This window comes from Homo sapiens, chromosome 7 (genome assembly GCF_000001405.40).
Source record: "Homo sapiens chromosome 7, GRCh38.p14 Primary Assembly".
NCBI classification, from domain to species: Eukaryota; Metazoa; Chordata; class Mammalia; order Primates; family Hominidae; genus Homo; species Homo sapiens.
The window spans coordinates 149,405,734-149,424,285 of record NC_000007.14 but is presented as its reverse complement, the minus strand read 5'-3'; the positions used below and the strand labels follow the sequence as shown (position 1 = coordinate 149,424,285).

The following is an 18,552-nucleotide window of genomic DNA, read 5'->3' as shown; positions in this document are numbered from 1 at the left end:
AAATATGTAAAATAACTCGTGCCTTAAGAGGCTGGAGAGGGAGCCAAGCCTACCTGCTCTGGCGCCCCCGTCTTCCCAAACTCCCCCTGCGCTGAGGGGTCTCCAAGGAGGAAGCTCACTTCAAAAACCTCTGCCCTGGGCAAGTCACCAGGGCTCCTTTTCTCTTGCTTCAACCTTTCCTAGCCTCAATCCAAACTCTGTATGTTTAATTTATCCAGTGACACACTCCATGCTTACTTAATTCTTTGATAGAACAGTTTCTTAGTTTTATTTTTTTTCCTTGTGGGATATGCATGCTTTCCTATTCTCTATGCGTTACTTGGCAGATGTTCATATCAGAAAATGGTAAGTCTCTATAACCTTGCCAGTGAAATCCAGAGAGCTAACATCCACTGAGAATCCCTGGAAGGCCGGGGAAGATAGCAGGACAGATGTCTTAAGCCCTGTGAGAAAGCTACAAAGACGTCTCCCCCGCCCCAACCCCCATGTTATTTTTACAGCAAACGCTTCCACGGTGAAGGCAACGGGAGATTCAGGTGCAAGGTGCAGCCTAGCAAGACCCCTGGCCACACACGCATCACTGCGGGAGGTTGGAGGGTCCCCTCTACCGGGCTTTCCAGGGCTTGGCGCGTGCTCGGAGCGTGCACTCAGCGGCCATTGTGTGTTTGATTTTTCCCAAGGGCAGGGCCGGCTTTTGTTCATTTCGCGCTTGCTCCAGAGTCTGGCGCAAGGTCCTCAGAGGTCCTCAGTGCACGCGAAATGAACGGATGAACAAGCCACAGGTGACAATGTGCGGGAAGAAACACGGGTACAATCCCAAATCTCTGCCCAGCTGGGATGGAGATGATTTTCTTCATTAAACCTGATCCAACACCTTTAAACGCTATCACTTAAAAATGGATTTTATCATTCCTTCTGATATTTCAGCCCCAATATTAGGTAGAGTACCCGGATCACTGCCAAATCCTCTTACCACCGTTGCAGGTGGCTGGTGTGCGGCAGAAATCCTGCTCCACGGCCCTGCCCTTTGCAGCAAGGTCACCCAGCTGCCTGATAAGGAGTCCAGGGACGGGCAGCAAGCGGGACTGCGGGGAAAGCGCCGGGCACGCCGCGTGGCACCCGAGGCCCGCCCGCCCTTCCTGGCTGGGTATGAACACCAGCCGCGCCCGCGGGCGGCGACCCCGGGCTTCCTCTCGTTCAGGTCGCCTGGCGCGGCCGTGCCTTCCTGCTTCCCTACGGCAGCGGCACACCGGGACCTTGGGGAACCGGGAAGGGGCCCTTCCCCAAGCCAGGCCTCTGGCCCATCCAGGTCCCCTCGAGTCCCCCCAGCTCACCCAGAGCTCAGCGGGTCCCGTCCTCGGTCTCCCCGCCGGCCTCGCGGCTCCATTGCTGCCGCCCGAGAGGCCCTACGCGAGCTCCTAAAACCCTGCGCCCTCCATTTGGCGCCTGTGGGATGGGGCACAACCGTGTCGGTCTCACTGGTGCTGTGAGTGCAGCTGAGAGCCAATGGAGCAAGGACTTAACACAAACGATTATATTTTTATTTTAAAGATGTATTTATGCGTCTCTATCCATATTTTAAATATGCACATTTTCTCGATTACATTAATTTTGATGACTTGACTTTTAGACGTTCCTCTGCCTGGGCGTTTTTTCTCCCGTCTGATGAGAACGGGAGCGCGCTGCTGGGTGCCCGGCAGGGCGCGCCGGCGGCCCACGGGCTGCCTCCCGGGCCAGCGCCACGTCGGGCCGCGCGGGGCCGCGCGCTGCCCCCTGCCGGCCAGAGGCGAGGAGGCCCCGGAGGCCGCGGCGCCCTCACCTGGCCGCTGGCGGCCGCTCTAGGAATGCGCGCGGCCTTCTCGGTGGTGGCGGCCGCCTCGCGCCAGAGACCCGCTAGTCCCGACATCCGAGCCCCAGCCCCGCCTGCCAGCCGGCTGGCCCTTAGTCGCAGTGCGGGAGCCGCCCGGCCGCAGCCCCGAACCAGCCCTGGTTAGCAGGAGCCGCTGTCAGGTTGCTTTTCTTGCACACACTGGCCTGCCGGCCAAGGCCCCAGCAAATCCCCGTGCAAACACAGTTGGTGCAAACACAGTTAGTGCAAACAAAGGTGCGGCCGCAGGAATCTGAGAGCACAGGAAATATGAGACCTACCCCACCTCGAAGGCTCAACCCACGGCACAAAACAGCACAGAAGACCCGGAGGGCCTTGGGTCCCAGAAGGAGAGGGGACTCCGTGAATTGACCCCGAGCTTTAGGGTTGCTCAAGCTTCTTCCCGGGCAGCCTGCATTCTACCCACTTTTCTCGTTGTGCAGATGAGGAAACCAAGGCTGAGGCCCAGCTCCTGGCCGCTCGCTGTGTTTGTCCCATGCGGAGGTGGACCTGGAGGCGCTCTCTCATGATAGGCTGCACTTTTTTTTTTTTTTTTTTTTGAGACGGAGTCTCGCTCTGTCGCCCAAGCTGGAGTGCGGTGGCAGGATCTCGGCTCACTGCAAACTCTGCCTCCCGGGTTCACGCCGTTCTCCTGCCTCAGCCTCTCGAGTAGCTGGGACTACAGGCGCCCGCCACCACGCCTGGCTAATTTTTTATATTTTTAGTAGAGACGGGGTTTCACCGTGTTAGCCAGGCTGGTCTCGATCTCCTGACCTCGTCATCCGCCCGCCTCGGCCTCCCAAAGTGCTGGGATTACAGGCGTGAGCCACAGCGCCCGGCCTGCACTTTTTTTCCTTGATATATTTTCAAATGTCTGCCTAGTTTTTTCCGAAGACTAAATTCTTTAGCCCAGGCTGCGGTGGCCCCCTAATAAAACAAATGCCATGCAAAGACTAACCTCCTGGAGTGGAACTGCCTGGTCCAGGGTACGAGCGTTTTCTAAGGCGTTTGAGGCATAGGGCCAGACGATCCTCCCGCAGGTCGGCCGTCTCCCCTAGTTCTGTGTGGGGAGCAGGCAAGGAAGCCCCGCTCTGTGGGCCGGTGGGAAGGCTGGCAAGCACCCGGTGTATTTGAGTGACGTGTGCCTCCGTGTGAGTGATGTGCAGGCGGCAGGGCCTCTGTCCTATTGTGGGGCCTCACTCTTAACGGATTTGAATGCTGTGGGAGCACTGGGCGGCCAGGGAATCTTTTGAAAAGGCAAATTTGATCATAGTCCTCTCTTGCTTGGGAGGTTCCCCATTGCTCTTAGGGTAAGGTCCAAAATCTTTCAGGACCCACTAGGCCCTGCCTGCCTTCTCGGCCCTGTCCGGGGTTGCTGTAACAAAGTGCCACAAACTGGTTGGCTTTAAACAACAGAAATGGATTCTTGCAGTTCTGGAGGCCAGAGGTCCAAGATCAATGTGTGGTCTGGCTTGGTTCTTACTGGAGGCTCTGAGGGACACCGTCCCATGCCTCTCTCCTGGCTTCAGCATTGGATGCAGTGCGCCAGCGGGCACTTGGCCTGCTCCCTTTGTCTCCTCTCTTCTGATGAGGATAACAGTCATATTGCACTGAGTGCCCACCCTGCGCCAGGATGACCTGGTCTTAATTAACTATTACATTGGCAATGACCCTATTTCCAAAGAAGGTCACCTCCTGAGGTTCTTGGAAGGACATGAACTTTGGGAAGACCCTACTCAGTCCACACAGGCTGCCTCCCAGACTCCAGCACCCTGACCTTCTCTCTGCTCTTGGCACCCCACTGCCTCAGGCTTCACCCATGCCGCCCAACTTCCTGGGCTGCTCATCTCCCAACTAACGTTCCTTCCTCCTGCACGGTGTTGTGGAAATGTCACTCCCTCAGAAAAGGCCTCTGGAACACCCCAGCTTAGGGTAACTGTGGTGCCCACTCTCCCCCTTCCCCTTTCTAGGTTCACAGAGCTTAAGACAGTTATCATTGAAGTGACACCGAGTGACAGTGGATGTTCATGTGTGCCTCCTCTACCTAAATCTGCTCCTCAGGGGCAGAAACCAGGTCGGCTGGATGAACAAGAACCTTAATTGCATGGCCGAGGAGGCTTACAGACTGACCTGGGAAGCCTGTCTCCACAGGACAGGCCCGAGGTGATGAAGACCTGTGCCAAGCCCAGCACAGAGTCTCTGAGGAAGGGCTCAGAGATGTGGCCCCTGCACATGGGAGGGAGATCCAAATCCAGGCTCCACTCTCCCTGGGATGGCACAGTAAATAAATGCCACCTCCTGACCCAGCTCACAGGGCCCTCTGTGGCCTGACCCCACCTCACCTCCACCTCAAATCACTGTCCTGCTCTGCCCCCTCTGCTGCCCCACACTGGCCTCATTCTTGCTTCATCCTGCCAAGCCACTTCCAAGTGGGTCACTCTACCCAAGGCCTGGGATCCACTGCATCCAGAATTTTAGTTATTTTTATCTACTTATTTTTTGAGACAGGGTCTCATTCTGTCACCTAGACTGGAGTGCAGTGGCACTGCAGCCTCGACTCTCCAGGCTCAACTGATCCTCTGGCCTCAGCTTCCCAAGTAGCTGAGACTACAGGTGCATGCCACCACGCCTGGCTAATTTTTTAAAAAATCTTTTGTACAAATGAGTTTTCGTTATGTTGCCCAGGAATGGTCTTGAACTCCTGTGCTCAAGCAATCTGCCCACCTCAGCCTCCCACAGTGCTGGGATTGCAGGTGTGAGCCCGGACATGCATCCAGATTTTTCCTCACTGGCTTCTTATCATTCGGATTTCAGCTCCAATCATCGTTTCCTGACCATCCCTGTTGTCTTCCATCAGAATACCATGCTTTATTTTCCTGTAGTGTTTTCAATATCTGTGATGTTTTCATTCATGCATTAGTTTGCTTGTCTGTCACACTGCACCTCTGGGAATATAGCTCCATGGGGCCAGGGCTGTGTTTCTTGGCCTCGTTCACTGCTGAGTCCTCAGTGCCTAGACTAGACCCTGGAACGTAGTGTATTTGTTAAATGACTGAATGAGTCACTTAGTCCCCCTGAATCTGTTTCTTCAGCTATAAAATGGGAGCAGTCTTAACTATTTCCTAGGATATAACAATTGTACCTGCCTCAGACAGCTATGAGGATTCTGTAGGATAGTGTATATGAGCCTCCAACATAAACACTCAGCACACATGAGCCATTATTTCTATCTCAGATTCACCCGTCCTCACATGGAGAGGGCAGGACTGGGAATGAGGTGGTAACTCTTTCAGATCCCAGTGTTCAGCTCTCTGTTCTTCCAGTTATCCAACCTTTACTAGAAAAGATGGAAAAAATATAGTATTGTGGAAACAGCCCTGGACTTGGACAGAGAGGTCTTGAAATTGAGTTCCTTGGAAATTTTCTGAGGCTGTGTCCTCATGTGCAAAATGGAATTAATTATTCCTATAGAAGCATAAATGAGGCCAGGCATGGTGGCTCACACCTGTAATCCTGGCACTTTGGGAGACTGAGGCAGGAGGACTGCTTGAGCCCAGGAGTTCAAGACCAGCCTGGTCAACAGAGCGAGACCCTGTCTCCAACAACAACAACAACAAATCCAGATGATGTGGTGGTGCAGCAGGCCTGTAGTCCCAGCTACTTGAGAGGCTGAGATGGGAGGGTCGCTTGAGCCTAGGAGTTTGAGGTTACAGTGAGCCATGATCACGCCACTGCATTCCTGAGCAACGGGGCAAGACCTTGGTTCTTTAAAAAAAAAAAAAAAAAAAAAGGCACTTGAATGAGTACGTTATGTGTAAATTATAATGCACTTATTTCCCAAATTAGCATTCCTTGGAGTCTTTTTTGTCTTATCTAGGCAATTACGTACTAATTATGTCAAAAGGAAATGATATTGCTTGTAATTACTAGAAGAGATATGCTTAAATTTGTAATATTTATGGGTTTTTCTGATTTTCAAAGTGATACATTTTATTGCAGAAAATGTGAAGAATATAGAGGAATATAAAGAAAAACATTCTGAAATCACCCATAACCCCTATATTCATGCTTTAGTCTTCACATGTGTGCCCTGGAGCAAACAGTGCACGTGAAGGGCATCCTCACCGAACTGAGATGCCCTTAGGTGGGTGATCCAGGAAGCTGACAGGTAGGTGGCTTCCTAGAAGGCCACGGAGAGGACCTGTGCCAGTTCCACGCACTGATGCTTGTTTGACTGAGTCCTGGGAGTGGCTGGATGGGAGGGAGGGCACAAGAAGGGGCTATGGCCCTAAATAGGGCATTTAACTATAGATTAAGAGCTTCCAATTTGAATTGAGGTGCTTCTGGGGGCCCTTAAACTTAAAAAATAATTTCTTAGTGGTTTAGGAAAATAAAACAATTACTGAAAATACCAAAAAGTATAAAGAAGAAATAGTCACTAACAATCTCACCATGGAGCTAGGAGATATTAGGATCTCAAAATATTTCTTTTTACCTTTTTGTTTGGTTGATTCTACTTATTTTTACCTTTGAGATAATACCCACTCTCATTTAACATCGTGATTCCCAACCGTGGCTGCACACTGGAATCCCCTGACAGCACAAACTATCAGTGTCTGGGTATCACTCTAGATATTCTGATTCAACTGATCTGCCCCCTCGTACCTGCATTAGTACTTTTAAAACCTCCCTAGGTGATTCTAAGGTAGTCAGAATCGAGAACCACTGACTTAAGATGTAATTCACATTTTCTTGTGAATTATATCAAACATTTTAAATAGCTAGTTTTCTATCATGTAGATATGCCAGTTTCTTAACCACCTCTCTAATATTAGGCATTTCTGCTTCTATTTGTTTAATTATTATTATTATTATTATTATTATTATTTTTTGAGACAGGGTCTTCCTCTGTGGCCCAGGCTAGAGTGCAGTGGTGCAATCTTGGCTCACTGCAACCTCTGCCTCCCGGGTTCAAGCTATTCTCCCACCTCAGCCTCCTGAGTAGCTGGGATCACAGGCACGCACCACCACAGGCCGGCTAATGTTTGTATTTTTAGTAGAGACGGGGGTTTCACCATATTGGTCAGGCTGGTGTCAAACTCCCGACCTCAGGTGATCTAGCCGCCTCGGCCTCCCAAAGTGCTGGGATTACAGGCATGAGCCACTGCGCCCTGCCATCTATTTGCTTAAATATTTTAAATAACACTTAAGAGCACTTAAATATCTTTGAGCCAACATTTGTTCATGTTTCACGCTTTTTCTGGGCTGGGTTCATAGAAACAGAATTACTACTAGGTCAAAGGGAATTGTTTGAACTTATCTCTTATTTTATACTGCCTTTCCTCTCGAGAGAGATTATACCAAGCCCAGGCATGGTGGCTCAGGCCTGTAATCCCAGAACTTTGGGAGGCCAAAACAGGTGGATTGCTTGAGGTCAAGAGTTGGAGACCAGCCTGGCCAACATGGTGAAACCCTTTCTCCACTAAAATACAAAAATTCGCCGGGCATGGTGGCGGGCACCTGTAATCCCAGCTACTTTGGGAGGCTGAGGCTGAGGATCTCAGCTCACTGCAACCCAGGTGGTGGAGGTTGCAATAAGCCAAGACTGCGACACTGCGCTCTAGCCTGGGCGATAGAGCAAGACTCCATCTCAAAAAATAAAAATAAAAATAAAAAATTGTACCAGTTTACAGGCCTAAAATAGTATGGACTTACCATACCCTTGCCAGTATGAGGATTGCTACTTTAATTTTTGTCCATTTCAATACAGGAAAAATGTTAAATGGTGTTGTTTTCATTTGCATGTCTTTGGTTTTACTAAGATTTATTTTGACTTACTAACACTTATACTTTTCTATCAACTACTATTATACTATTTCCTTTTGTGAATTGTCTTTTGATGGCCTTTGCTATTACATGTGGGCTCTTTACTTATTAAGGATATTAATTTGTAATATTTTGACTGTCCTACATGACAGAAATATTTTCCCAACTTGGTATTAACCTTTTGATTTTGTTTACATACCTGAACCTTTAATGTTTATATAGCCGAATCTATTGGTATTTTCTGTTGGGATTTGTTCCATTGTGTATTAGAAAGTCCTTCAGAAATCAGTTAGATGCAATTTATACTGTCTTATGCTTTTATTTGATATTTTATATGTAATAATTTAATCCACTTGGACTTTATTTTGGTATATAATATGAAGTTTAGTTGCCACTTTAATTTTCCCAAATGGCCAACTAAGTCTCCCAGTAGAATATATGTAAATGACGCTTCCTTTCCCCTATGAATTTGTGATGTGTAAAACACGGTGGTTGAGTGTATGGACTCTGTTGCCAGACCACTTAAGTCTGCATTTCCACTTACCAACCATTTGACGTTGGACAGCTTTTTCAACGTTTCTCATTTTTCTCATTTGTAAAATTGGGACACCAGTCATAGCGCCTGGTGTCTCAGCTTTCTCATTTGTAAAATTGGGACACCAGTCATAGCGCCAGCCTTACGGAGTCGCTGTGAACACAACTGCTCTGTAAAAGTGAGTGACGCTCTTTCATTCAGTTCGTGCGTGGACTATGGTGTGCTCCCAGGTCTGCGTTCCAGGTGTTCTGTCCCCGCACCGAGTCCATTCTTGTGTCCTGGCAGATGCTGATGTGTAGTGGGGCAGGCTCTCTCCCGCTGCTGTCACTTTTTGGTTTTCTTGGCCTCCATCTCCTATTTTGCTTTAGGAAATAAATGGCCTACCTTTTCTTCACTGCTCCGGGCCCTCCATTTTCATCGCAGATAAGCAGTTAGTTGAAAAAGACAATGCTTGCATCAGATAAAGGCCTAAGAAGGTCTTCGTGGTTTGCGGGGAGAAGAATTGGTGTGGGGAAGGGCCATGAGTGACGTCAGAGGATCTTGGGAAGAGGACAGAGGTGGAGAATAAAGATGAGAGCAAAAAGGGAAAGAGCCCAAAAGGGACGGATAAAGAAAAGGTTCGAGGTGACGGCGGCCGAAGGAGTAAACGCCGTGAGCCGGGGCTGTCACCCCGGGGTTTCTTCCCAAACTCGGGGAAGAAAGTGCGTTGGAGTGTGACGGTAAAAGCGCAAAGGTCCGAACTGGCCGCCGGAGAAAAGCGCCGCCCAAAGCGCGGACCCTGCAGTGCTGTACGCGGCTTGCGTGCGGCTGACTACGAAGACGTGAGTGACGCTTTCCTCCCGTGTGACGGGGGTATAGCTTAGCGGTAGAGCATTTGACTGCAGATCAAGAGGTCCCCGGTTCAAATCCGGGTGCCCCCTGAATAGTGGCTTTTAGAGGTTTCTTGGCTCTAGCAAGACCTGCTTCCACAGCACACTGATTTCCAAAGACCATGCCGGGTAAATCCGCGTTCCCTCTGCGCAATGACTTTTAGAGGTTCTCAGTCTCTAGCAAGACCTGCATACATAGCACACCGATAGCAAAAGACCCTGCAGCCCCACTGGAACTGAAATATAGGACCGTCTTTACCTTCACACTCCCAGAGAGGGCTGGTTTCCCATCACACATTTCTTCTGACCTAAGTGTGGGGGTTAGCCAGGTTCTCTTGGAGAGGCAGGATCTCCAGCGGCTGCTCCTGGAAAGGTGTAGAAAAGCCCCGCGGGTTTCCGGGCTTCAGCAGTACCTCGCATCTCACACACCTGCGCCCCTGGAGCCACAGTCAGGTTCCCAGCCACATATATTGTTCAAGTAAGGATGATTTGGAGAGGAGTATAATTCTGAGTATGATTTGTTTTAGTATTTTGGTAGACCAAATATTGAATAGCGATTCTATTCAATAGCTATTTTCAAAAACACTCGCAGAAAGTGCTCAACAGCTATTTTCAAAAACACTTGCAGAAAGTGCATACATACTACCATAACTAAATATTTTATTATACTAAATCAGCTGTTACAAAAAAATAATTTAGTTTATTTGCATATATACCACCTAAAAAAACACCTCACACTTTATCTGAATTGGTAGACTATCCCAGCCTGTTTGGATGGACTTGTGAGTTGTGTGTACACCACATCCGGTTCCAACGACATCCTGCTGAATCTTCTTGGGATTTACTAAAGACTTCCTTGCCAAGAACATTGTTTTTATCACAGTGCTGTGCTCCCCAAATCGCACCCTTGTATCGTTGCTGCACAAAGAGTTCTACCTTCAATATTGCACTTTTAAACGGAGTACACCAGTATTCACAATAATGGCAACTGTTTCATCTTTTATAAAGTGAACTTCCAAAAGCTTTGGTTCCATTAATTAGATGCCAGGACTACAGACCTGAAAGGGGATTGTCCTCAATAACAGACTGATGTTCACCTTTTTAATAATGGCTTTGTAGTTTCTCAACTTCATTAATCACCAGCTTACCAACTCATTATTCCCCAGGATAATGTTTTCCTCAGAAAGGTTTATCTCCATTGGCTGGTGGGGAGGGTGCACTGGAAGGAGGAGAAAGTCAAAGTAGGGTGGTCCATGCTCCTCCTGAGGTGTGAGATTGAGATTCTGGAGCAGAAATCAAAACCTTGGAGTCATAGTCTTTTTTTTTTTTTTCTTTTGAGACAGGGTCTTGCTCTGTTGCCCAGGCAGGAGTGCAACAGCACAATCATGGCTCGCTGCAGCCTCAACCACCTGGGTTCAAACAGTCCTCCCACCTGAGTCTCCAGAGTACCTGAAACTACAGGCGATTTCTTTTTCTTTTTCAAGGACGGTTTAAAATTTTTTTTTATTTTAGGGTTGGGGGTACATGTGAAGGTTTGTTACATACATAAACACATTTCACAGGGGTTTGTTGTACATATTATCACATCACCCAGGTATTAAGCTCAGTATTCAATAGCGATCTTTTCTGCTCCTCCCCCTCCTCCCCCCCTCCCCCTCCTCCCCCCTCCCCCCTCCCCCCCAGGTAGACCGCAGTGTCTGTTGTTTCCTTCTTTGTCTTCATAAGTTCTTATCATTTAGCTCCTACCTATAAGTGAGAACATGCGGATTTGGTTTTCCATTCCTGCATTACCTTGCTAAGGATGATGGCCTCCAGCTCCATCCATGTTCCTGCAAAAGACATGATCTCATTCTTTTTTTGACTGCATAATATTCCATGGTGCATATGTACCACATTTTCTTTATCCACTCTATCATTGATGGGCATTTAGGTTGTTTCCATGTGTTTGCTATTGTGAGCAGTGCTGCAATAAACATTTGTGTGCATGTGTCTTTATGGTAGAATGCTATACATTGCTCTAGCTATATTCTCGGTAGTGGGATCAAATGGTAGTTCTGCTTTTAGCTCTTTGAGGAATCGCCATACTGCTTTCCACAATGGTTGAACTAATTTACACTCCCACCAACAGTATATAAGGGTTCCTTTTCTCCGCAACCTCACCAGCATGTGTTATTTTTTGACTTTTTAGTAATAGCCATTCTGACTGGTGTGAGATGGTATCTCATTGTGGTTTTGATTTGCATTCTTCTAATGATCAGTGATGATATTCAGCTTTTTTGCCCATACTTGTTGGCCGCATGTATGTCTTCTTTTGAGACCTGTCCATGTGTTCATGTCTGTTCATGCCCTTTGCCCACTTTTTTTTTTTTTTTTTTTTTTTTGAGACGGAGTCTTGCTCTGTCACCCAGGCTGGAGTGCAGTGGCGCCATCTCGGCTCACTGCAAGCTCCGCCTCCTGGGTTCACGCCATTCTGCTGCCTCAGCCTCCCCAGCAGCTGGGACTACAGGCGCACGCCGCCACACCTGGCTAATTTTTTTTGTATTTTTAGTAGAGACGGGGTTTCACGTGTTAGCCAGGATGGTCTTGATCTCCTGACCTCGTGATCTGCCCGCCTCGGCCTCCCAAAGTGCTGGGATTACAGGCTTGAGCCACCGTGCCCGACTGACCTTTGCCCGCTTTTTAATGGGGTTGTTTGTTTTTCTCTTGTAAATTTGTTTAAGTTCCTTATAGACCTTTGATGGATGCATAGTTTGCAAATATTTTATCCCGTTCTGTAGGTTGTCTGTTTACCCTGTTGATGGTTTGCTGTGCAGAAGCTCTTAAGTTTAATTAGATCCCATTTGCCAATTTTTGCTTTTGTTGTGATGGCTTTTGGTGTCTTTCTCATGAAATCTTTGCCCATTCCCATGTCCAAGATGGTATTTCCTAGGTTGTCTTTCAGGGTTTTTATAATTTTCAGTTTTACATTTAAGTCTTTTTTTTTTTTTTTTTTTTTTTTTACATTTAAGTCCTTAATCCATTTTGAGTTGATTTTTGTATATGGTGTAAGGAAGGGATCCAGCTTCAATCTTCTGCATATTGCTAGCCAATTATCCCAGCACCATTTATTTAATAGAGAGTCCTTTCCCCCTTGTTTGTTTTTGTCAACTTTGTCAAAGATCACATGGTCATAGATGTGCAGCCTTATTTCTGGGCTCTCTGTTCTGTTCCACTGATCTATGTGCCTGTTTTAGTAACAGTACCGTGCTGTTTTTGTCACTGTAGCCTTATAGTATAGTTTGAAGTTGGGTAATGTGATTCCTCTAGCTTTGTTCTTTTTGCTTAGGGTTGCCTTGGCAATTCAGTCCCTTTTTTGGTTCCATATAAATTTTAAAGTATTTTTTCTAGTTTTCTGAAGAACGTCATTGGTAGTTTAGTAGGAATAGCATTGAATCTATAAATTGCTTTGGGCAGTATAGCCATATTAATAATATTGATTCTTCCTATCCATGAGCATGAGATGTTTTTCTATTTGTTTCTGTGTTCTCTGATCTCTTTTGATCAGTGTTTTGTAATTCTCATTGTAGAGATGTTTCACCTCCCTGGTTAGCTATAAGAGATAGAAAAATTCCCAGACATTTACACTCTCCTAAGACTGAGCCAGGAAGAAATTAATTCCCTGAACAGAACAATAAGGAGCTCCAAAATTGAATCAGTAATAATAGCCTACCAACCCAAAAAAGCCCAGGACCTGATGGATTTGCAGCTGAATTCTACCAGATGTACAAATAAGAGTTGGTATCATTCCTACAGAAACTATTCCAGAAAATTGAGGCATAGGGGCTTCTCCCTAGCTCATTCTATGAGGCCAGCATCATCTTGATACCAAAACCTGGCAGAGACACAACAAAAAAATAAAACTTCAGGCCAATATTCTTGATGAACATCAATGCAAAAATCCTCAACAAAATACTTGCAAACAGAATCCAGCAGCACATCAAAAAGCTAATCCACTGTGATTAAGGAGGCTTCATCCCTGGGATACAAGGATGGTTCAACATACAAAAATCAATGAATGTGATTCATCACATAAACAGAACTAAAGACAAAAAACACATGATTATCTCAATAGACGCAGAAATGGCTTTTGAGAAAATTCAATATCCCTTCATGTTAAAAACTCTCAATAAACTAGGTACTGAAGGAATATACCTCAAAATAATAAGAGCCATTAATGACAAACCCACAGCCAATATCATTCTGAATGGGTAAAAGCTGGAAACATTCCCCTTGAAAACCAGCACAAGACAAGGATGTCCTCTCTCACCACTTATATTCAACATAGTATGGGAAGTCCTAGCCAGAGCAATCAGGCAAGAGAAAGAAATAAAGGACATCCAAATAGGAAGAGAGGAAGTCAAACTATCTCTGTTTGCAGACGACATGATTCTATATCTAGAAAACCCCATATTCTTGGCCCAAAAGCTTCGTCAGCTGATAACTTCAGCAAACTTGCGGGCTACAAAATCAATATACAAAAATTGCTAGCATTCCTATATACCAACAATAACCAAACTGAGAACCAAATCAGAAAAGCAATCCCATTCACAATTGCCACAAAAAAAAAAAACAAAAAAATACCCAGGTGATTTGTATGTTTTGTAGATACAGGGTCTTGCTTTGTTGCCTGGGCTGGTCTCAAACTCCTGGGTTCAAGCAGTCCCCCTGCCACCACCTCCCAAAGTGCCGGGATTACAGGCCCGAGCAACTGCGCCCAGCTTGGAGTCATAGCCCTGACCATTGTCAACAGCCCAATCAGACACAGGCAGGCCTCTGAGTCTCTTTCCAGGTGGGTGGCATGGAGGAGGCAGCTAGATCCGTGTTTTCCAGCAGTCCCTGAACTCTCCGAAGAATTTTTCTATTCAAATTTTAATCACAATCTTAGCATTTTTAATATGGGCATTCTAGGACTTGTTTGGGTGGACACTTTACAACAAAAAGCTGTTTCTAGGCACTGTGTGCTTGGGTGTGCCTGTACGCGTGTGTTTGTGATTCACTTGTCACCATGTGGTGCTTTAATACCTGTGGTGGCAAAAGAACAGAAGCTCAACTAAGTCCACAAGAGAGGGAAGTGAGAGTTGTGCTCACAGAGGCGGTTTCCCAGACGTGCTGGGGCCCAGCGGGTCTTCACAGGCTTGTGAGGGACAGCCTCACAAACACATTACACAGAGCCTGTTAGTTCTAGCGAGTTAGTTTCCTCTGAATGAAACTAATTATTTGAGTGTTATTTGATTTATGATTTCATTTGTAATGATTTCTAAAAAAAAATTGGTTTTTTTGAGAGACAAGAGTCTTGCTCTGTTGCCCTGGCTGGAGTGCAGTGGTGTGATCTTGACTCACTGCAACCTCCGCCTCCTGAGTTCAAGTGATTCTCCTGCCTCAGCCTCCCGAGTAGCTGGGACTACAGGCACATGTGAGCATGCCCAGCTAATTTTTGTAATTTTAGTAGAGACGGGTTTCACCACATTAGCCAGGCTGGTCTTAAACTCCTGACCTCAGGTGATCCACCCGCCTCAGCCTCCCAAAGTGCTGGGATTACAGGCCTGAGCCACCACCCATGGCAGGATTTCTAAAATTATTTTGTTTTTATAGCCGTATAAAACTGTTAAGTACAGGGCATTTGTATGTAGTTTTGTGTACATATGTGTATACAGATCTAAGAACTAAACTAAATAAACTAAGAAATAAACTAAAATAAAATTAACTCTGGGGCTCTAAGAGAAATGTTTCTCTTTTGAAAGTGTACAAGAAACCAGCAAAGAGGTTACATGCTGGCCAGGTGACAACTTGTACATTTTAAACTCTGAGCCACGTGAAGTCGTTACTCATACAAAAGCTAACTAATTCACACATTTAGAAAACCTCAGTTTAAATGTTCTGACTTTCCCAAAAGCAAATGCGATAAAAACAAAGATAAATAGCCGGGACTTAATTAAACTAAACAGCTTTTGCATGGCAAAACAAACAGTTAGCAGAGTAAACAGACAACCCATAGAGTGGGAGAAAATCTTTGTAATCTATACAAAGATTATTAATATCCAGAATCTATGAGGAACTCAAACAAATTAGCAAGAAAAAAATAAATAATCCCATCAGAAATTGGGCTAAGGTCATGAATAGACAATTCTCAAAAGAAGATATACAAATGGGCACCAAACATATGAAAAAATGCTCAACATCACTAATGATCAGGGAAATGCAAATCAAAACCACAATGTGATACCACCTTACTCCTGCAAGAATGGCCAGAATCAAAAAAATCAAAAATAATAGATGTTGGTTAGATGCGGTGAAAAGGGAACACTTCTACACTGCTGGAGGGAATGTAAACTAGTACAACCACTATGGAAAACAGTGTGGAGATTCCTTAAATAACAAAAAATAGAACTATCATTTGACCTAGCAATCCCACCGCTGGGTATCTGCCCGGAGGAAAAGAAGTCATTATACGAAAAAGATACTTGCAGATGCATGTTTATAGCAGCAAAATTGGCAATTCCAAACATGTGGAAACAAACTAAATGCCCATGAATCAATGAGTGGATAAAGAAACTGTGGTATACATATACAATGGAATACTACTCAGCCATAAAAAATAATGAATTAATGGCATTCACAGCAACCTGGATAAGACTGGAGACTATTATTCTAAGGGAAGTAACTCAGGAATGGAAAACCAAGCATCGTATGTTCTCATTCATAAGTGGGAGCTAAGCTATGAGGATGCAAAGGCGTAAGAATGACACAGTGGACTTTGGGGACTCAGGGGAAAGGGTGGGAAGGGGCTGAGGGATAAAAGTTCACTAATTGGGTACAGTGTATACTGCTCGGGTGATGGGTGCACCAAAATCTCACAAATCACCACTAAAGAACCTACTTATGTAGCCAAACACCACCTGTTCCCCAATAACCTATAGAAATAAAAAAATTCTAAAAAAAAATAGTTACCAGATTTGGAGGCAGGGCAAGATTTTTCTTTTATTACCCTAGACAATTTGTAGCTTACATTTACAGAATCATTCTGTGTCTCTGACTGAGACTCTTCAGATCTGTTTTTGAGGGGAAAAAAAAGCTAGGGTCTGCTTTTGAACATGCATTATACATCTTGGTGAGACATCTAGGTGCCACTGTCTTTTTCCAATAAAATCTATGACAACAAAGTAACAGCCAAAGGCCTGTTGACTTCCTTAAAGTGGCTCGACTTACTTTTGTATACAGTAAGATTCAGGGGGCACAACAGAAAACCTAATGCTGTCTGTAGGGATTTAAGAAAAAAAAAAAAAAAAGGAAACCTAATGCTCACATTAAAAGTAAAGCAACCAAATAGTAGAAAAATTATCAAATAATGTGGTGAATCTGAGAGTAATTTCTGATGTATTAATATCTAACACTATTAAGGTTTGATCCCAAATTGAAAATATAGCTGTAAAATAAGTTAAGCAAGCTCTTCTGAATATAGAAACCATTTTACCTAGGATAATATAGATATCATTTGGCTGCTTCCCTTATATTAATTTTTAGAGTACACAGTAGCTTCCATAGAAGATGGTGGATCTCCCTTCAGAGGCTCTTAAGGGTAGGAAATGAACTAGATGATTTCTTGAGGCTTCCCCCACCCCTGTGATTTTGCAAAATAGCCAGCTCTACTCGAAGGCTAACGTGTCTCATTGCCAGGGGCTGGGGGAGGTGGGATTGGAGTGATGTCTGCTGATGGGTTTGGGGTATCTTTCCGGGGTGATGAAAATGTTCTGAAATTTGATAGTGGTGATAGTTACACAATCTGTGAATATACCCAAAACCACTGAATTATATACTTTAAAAGGGTGAAGTATATGATGTATAAATTATAGCTCATTTTTAAAAAGGTTATTATGTCTCCATTTAGCTGCTATTAAAATATAAACTTTTATTAAAAATATTCTGTTACATAAGAGGTCTGTAAGTAGTTTATCACAATAAATAATTCTGACAAATGTCGCTGTTTCTGTGGTGTATAGCCTCCTAAGCGATTCCTTTCTGAAAGTATTTTGACCAGAAATAATTCTAATTTATTAATTTGGTTTTCTTCAATGAAATTGAGAACATTTATTGGCAATTTGTAAGAATAACAAGAATTTTAGCAAATTGCAAATGTATATAACTTGCGATAAAATTAATTACCACTGGCAAAAATAAATAAATAAATGTTCTGACTTCCAGAAGCCAATGTTGGGCCCTCTCAGGGCACTTGGGTTAAATGGCCTTCTCTGGGCAACCCCATTATATAAAAGCAGGGAGGGCTGGCAGGGAGGAGGCGGGGGATGAGGTTGTAACAGAGCAGGGAGAGGGGTCCACTGGGAGGCAGCAGAGCCCTGCAGACCCAACCCAAAATAAAGAGCAGCCTAGTGGAGGCTGGATAATGTAGTGGCTGTTTAGCTTTATTTATTTATTTATTTATTTATTTATTTATTTATTTATTTATTTTAAGGTCTTGCACTGTCACCCAGGCTGGCTCACTGCAGCCTTGACTTTCTGGGCTCAAGCAGTCCTCCTGCCTCAGCCTCCTGAGTAGCTGGGACTACAGGTGTGCACCACCATGCCCAGCTATTTTATATATATATAATATACATATATATATATATATATTTTTTTTTTTTTTTTGTAGAGATGGGTTTTCACCATGTTGCCCAGGCTGGTTTCAAATTCCTGGGCTCAAGCAAGCCATCTGCCTCAGCCTCCCAAAGTGCTGGGATTACAGGCATGATTCTCCACGCCCTGCCTTTAGTTCTTGATTCTGTCACTTAACACTGATTTGGGGCAATTTGCTTCAATTCCATATGTCATTGTCATCAATGATGATGGTGGTAGTAGTGATAGTACTACCACAAATAATTTTTTAAATTATATATATGAAGCTCTTACAATTTATTTAGAACAAAATAATTGCACAAAAACATTAGGTATTATAGTAAATGTAGTGTCTTGGGTGTGGCTACACAGGTGAAATGTGCTAAGAAGGAATGTCCCTCAGGCAAGGGGGTATAGCTGAGGAGTAAACCATTTGGCTGCAGATCAAGTGGTCCCTGGTTCAAATATGGGTGCCCTCTATTCCCAAGTTTCCTTCCCTTTCCGCTATCGGGTTTTGTGGTAACGTTCCCCCTCCCATTAATGTTACTACAAATTTCAGCTGGAAAACTTACCCCTATGACACCACTAAAGGCATCTGGAGACTATAAAATTAAATGAGGTAGAAAAAAACCAAGATGTATATGCTGTGCTATCATTTGTGTTTACAGAAAAGGTAGGAGAAAATATGCACTAATAACTCCTCAGACGTACAAATTATCTATGGAAGAATATGTAAGAAACACAAGACATGGGCTTCCCCCAGTGAGTGGAGTCTTGGTAGATAAACAAGAGGGAGAATTTTCACTGCC

At 44.9% G+C, this 18,552-nt stretch overlaps 1 non-coding gene across 1 annotated transcript, besides 3 other annotated features; it reads left to right on the top strand.

Annotated features, from left to right (window-relative positions):
• Positions 1,618 to 1,867: a silencer, noted in NCBI's record as "silent region_18755". NCBI's record gives its function as "represses an Ori minimal core promoter by ATAC-STARR-seq in GM12878 lymphoblastoid cells {active_cell/tissue: GM12878}" and the evidence as "EXISTENCE:reporter gene assay evidence [ECO:0000049][PMID:35858748]".
• Positions 1,999 to 2,498: an enhancer, noted in NCBI's record as "H3K4me1 hESC enhancer chr7:149118879-149119378 (GRCh37/hg19 assembly coordinates)". NCBI's record gives its function as "activates a minimal SCP1, AML or CMV promoter by ChIP-STARR-seq in naive H9 embryonic stem cells {active_cell/tissue: H9 hESC(naive)}" and the evidence as "EXISTENCE:reporter gene assay evidence [ECO:0000049][PMID:30033119]".
• Positions 8,735 to 8,954: an enhancer, noted in NCBI's record as "active region_26814". NCBI's record gives its function as "activates an Ori minimal core promoter by ATAC-STARR-seq in GM12878 lymphoblastoid cells {active_cell/tissue: GM12878}" and the evidence as "EXISTENCE:reporter gene assay evidence [ECO:0000049][PMID:35858748]".
• TRC-GCA11-1 (tRNA-Cys (anticodon GCA) 11-1) lies at positions 9,077 to 9,148 on the top strand. Its single transcript has one exon. It is a non-coding gene; the product is annotated as a tRNA-Cys (tRNA).
• The last annotated feature ends 9,404 nt before the right edge of the window (positions 9,149 to 18,552 follow it).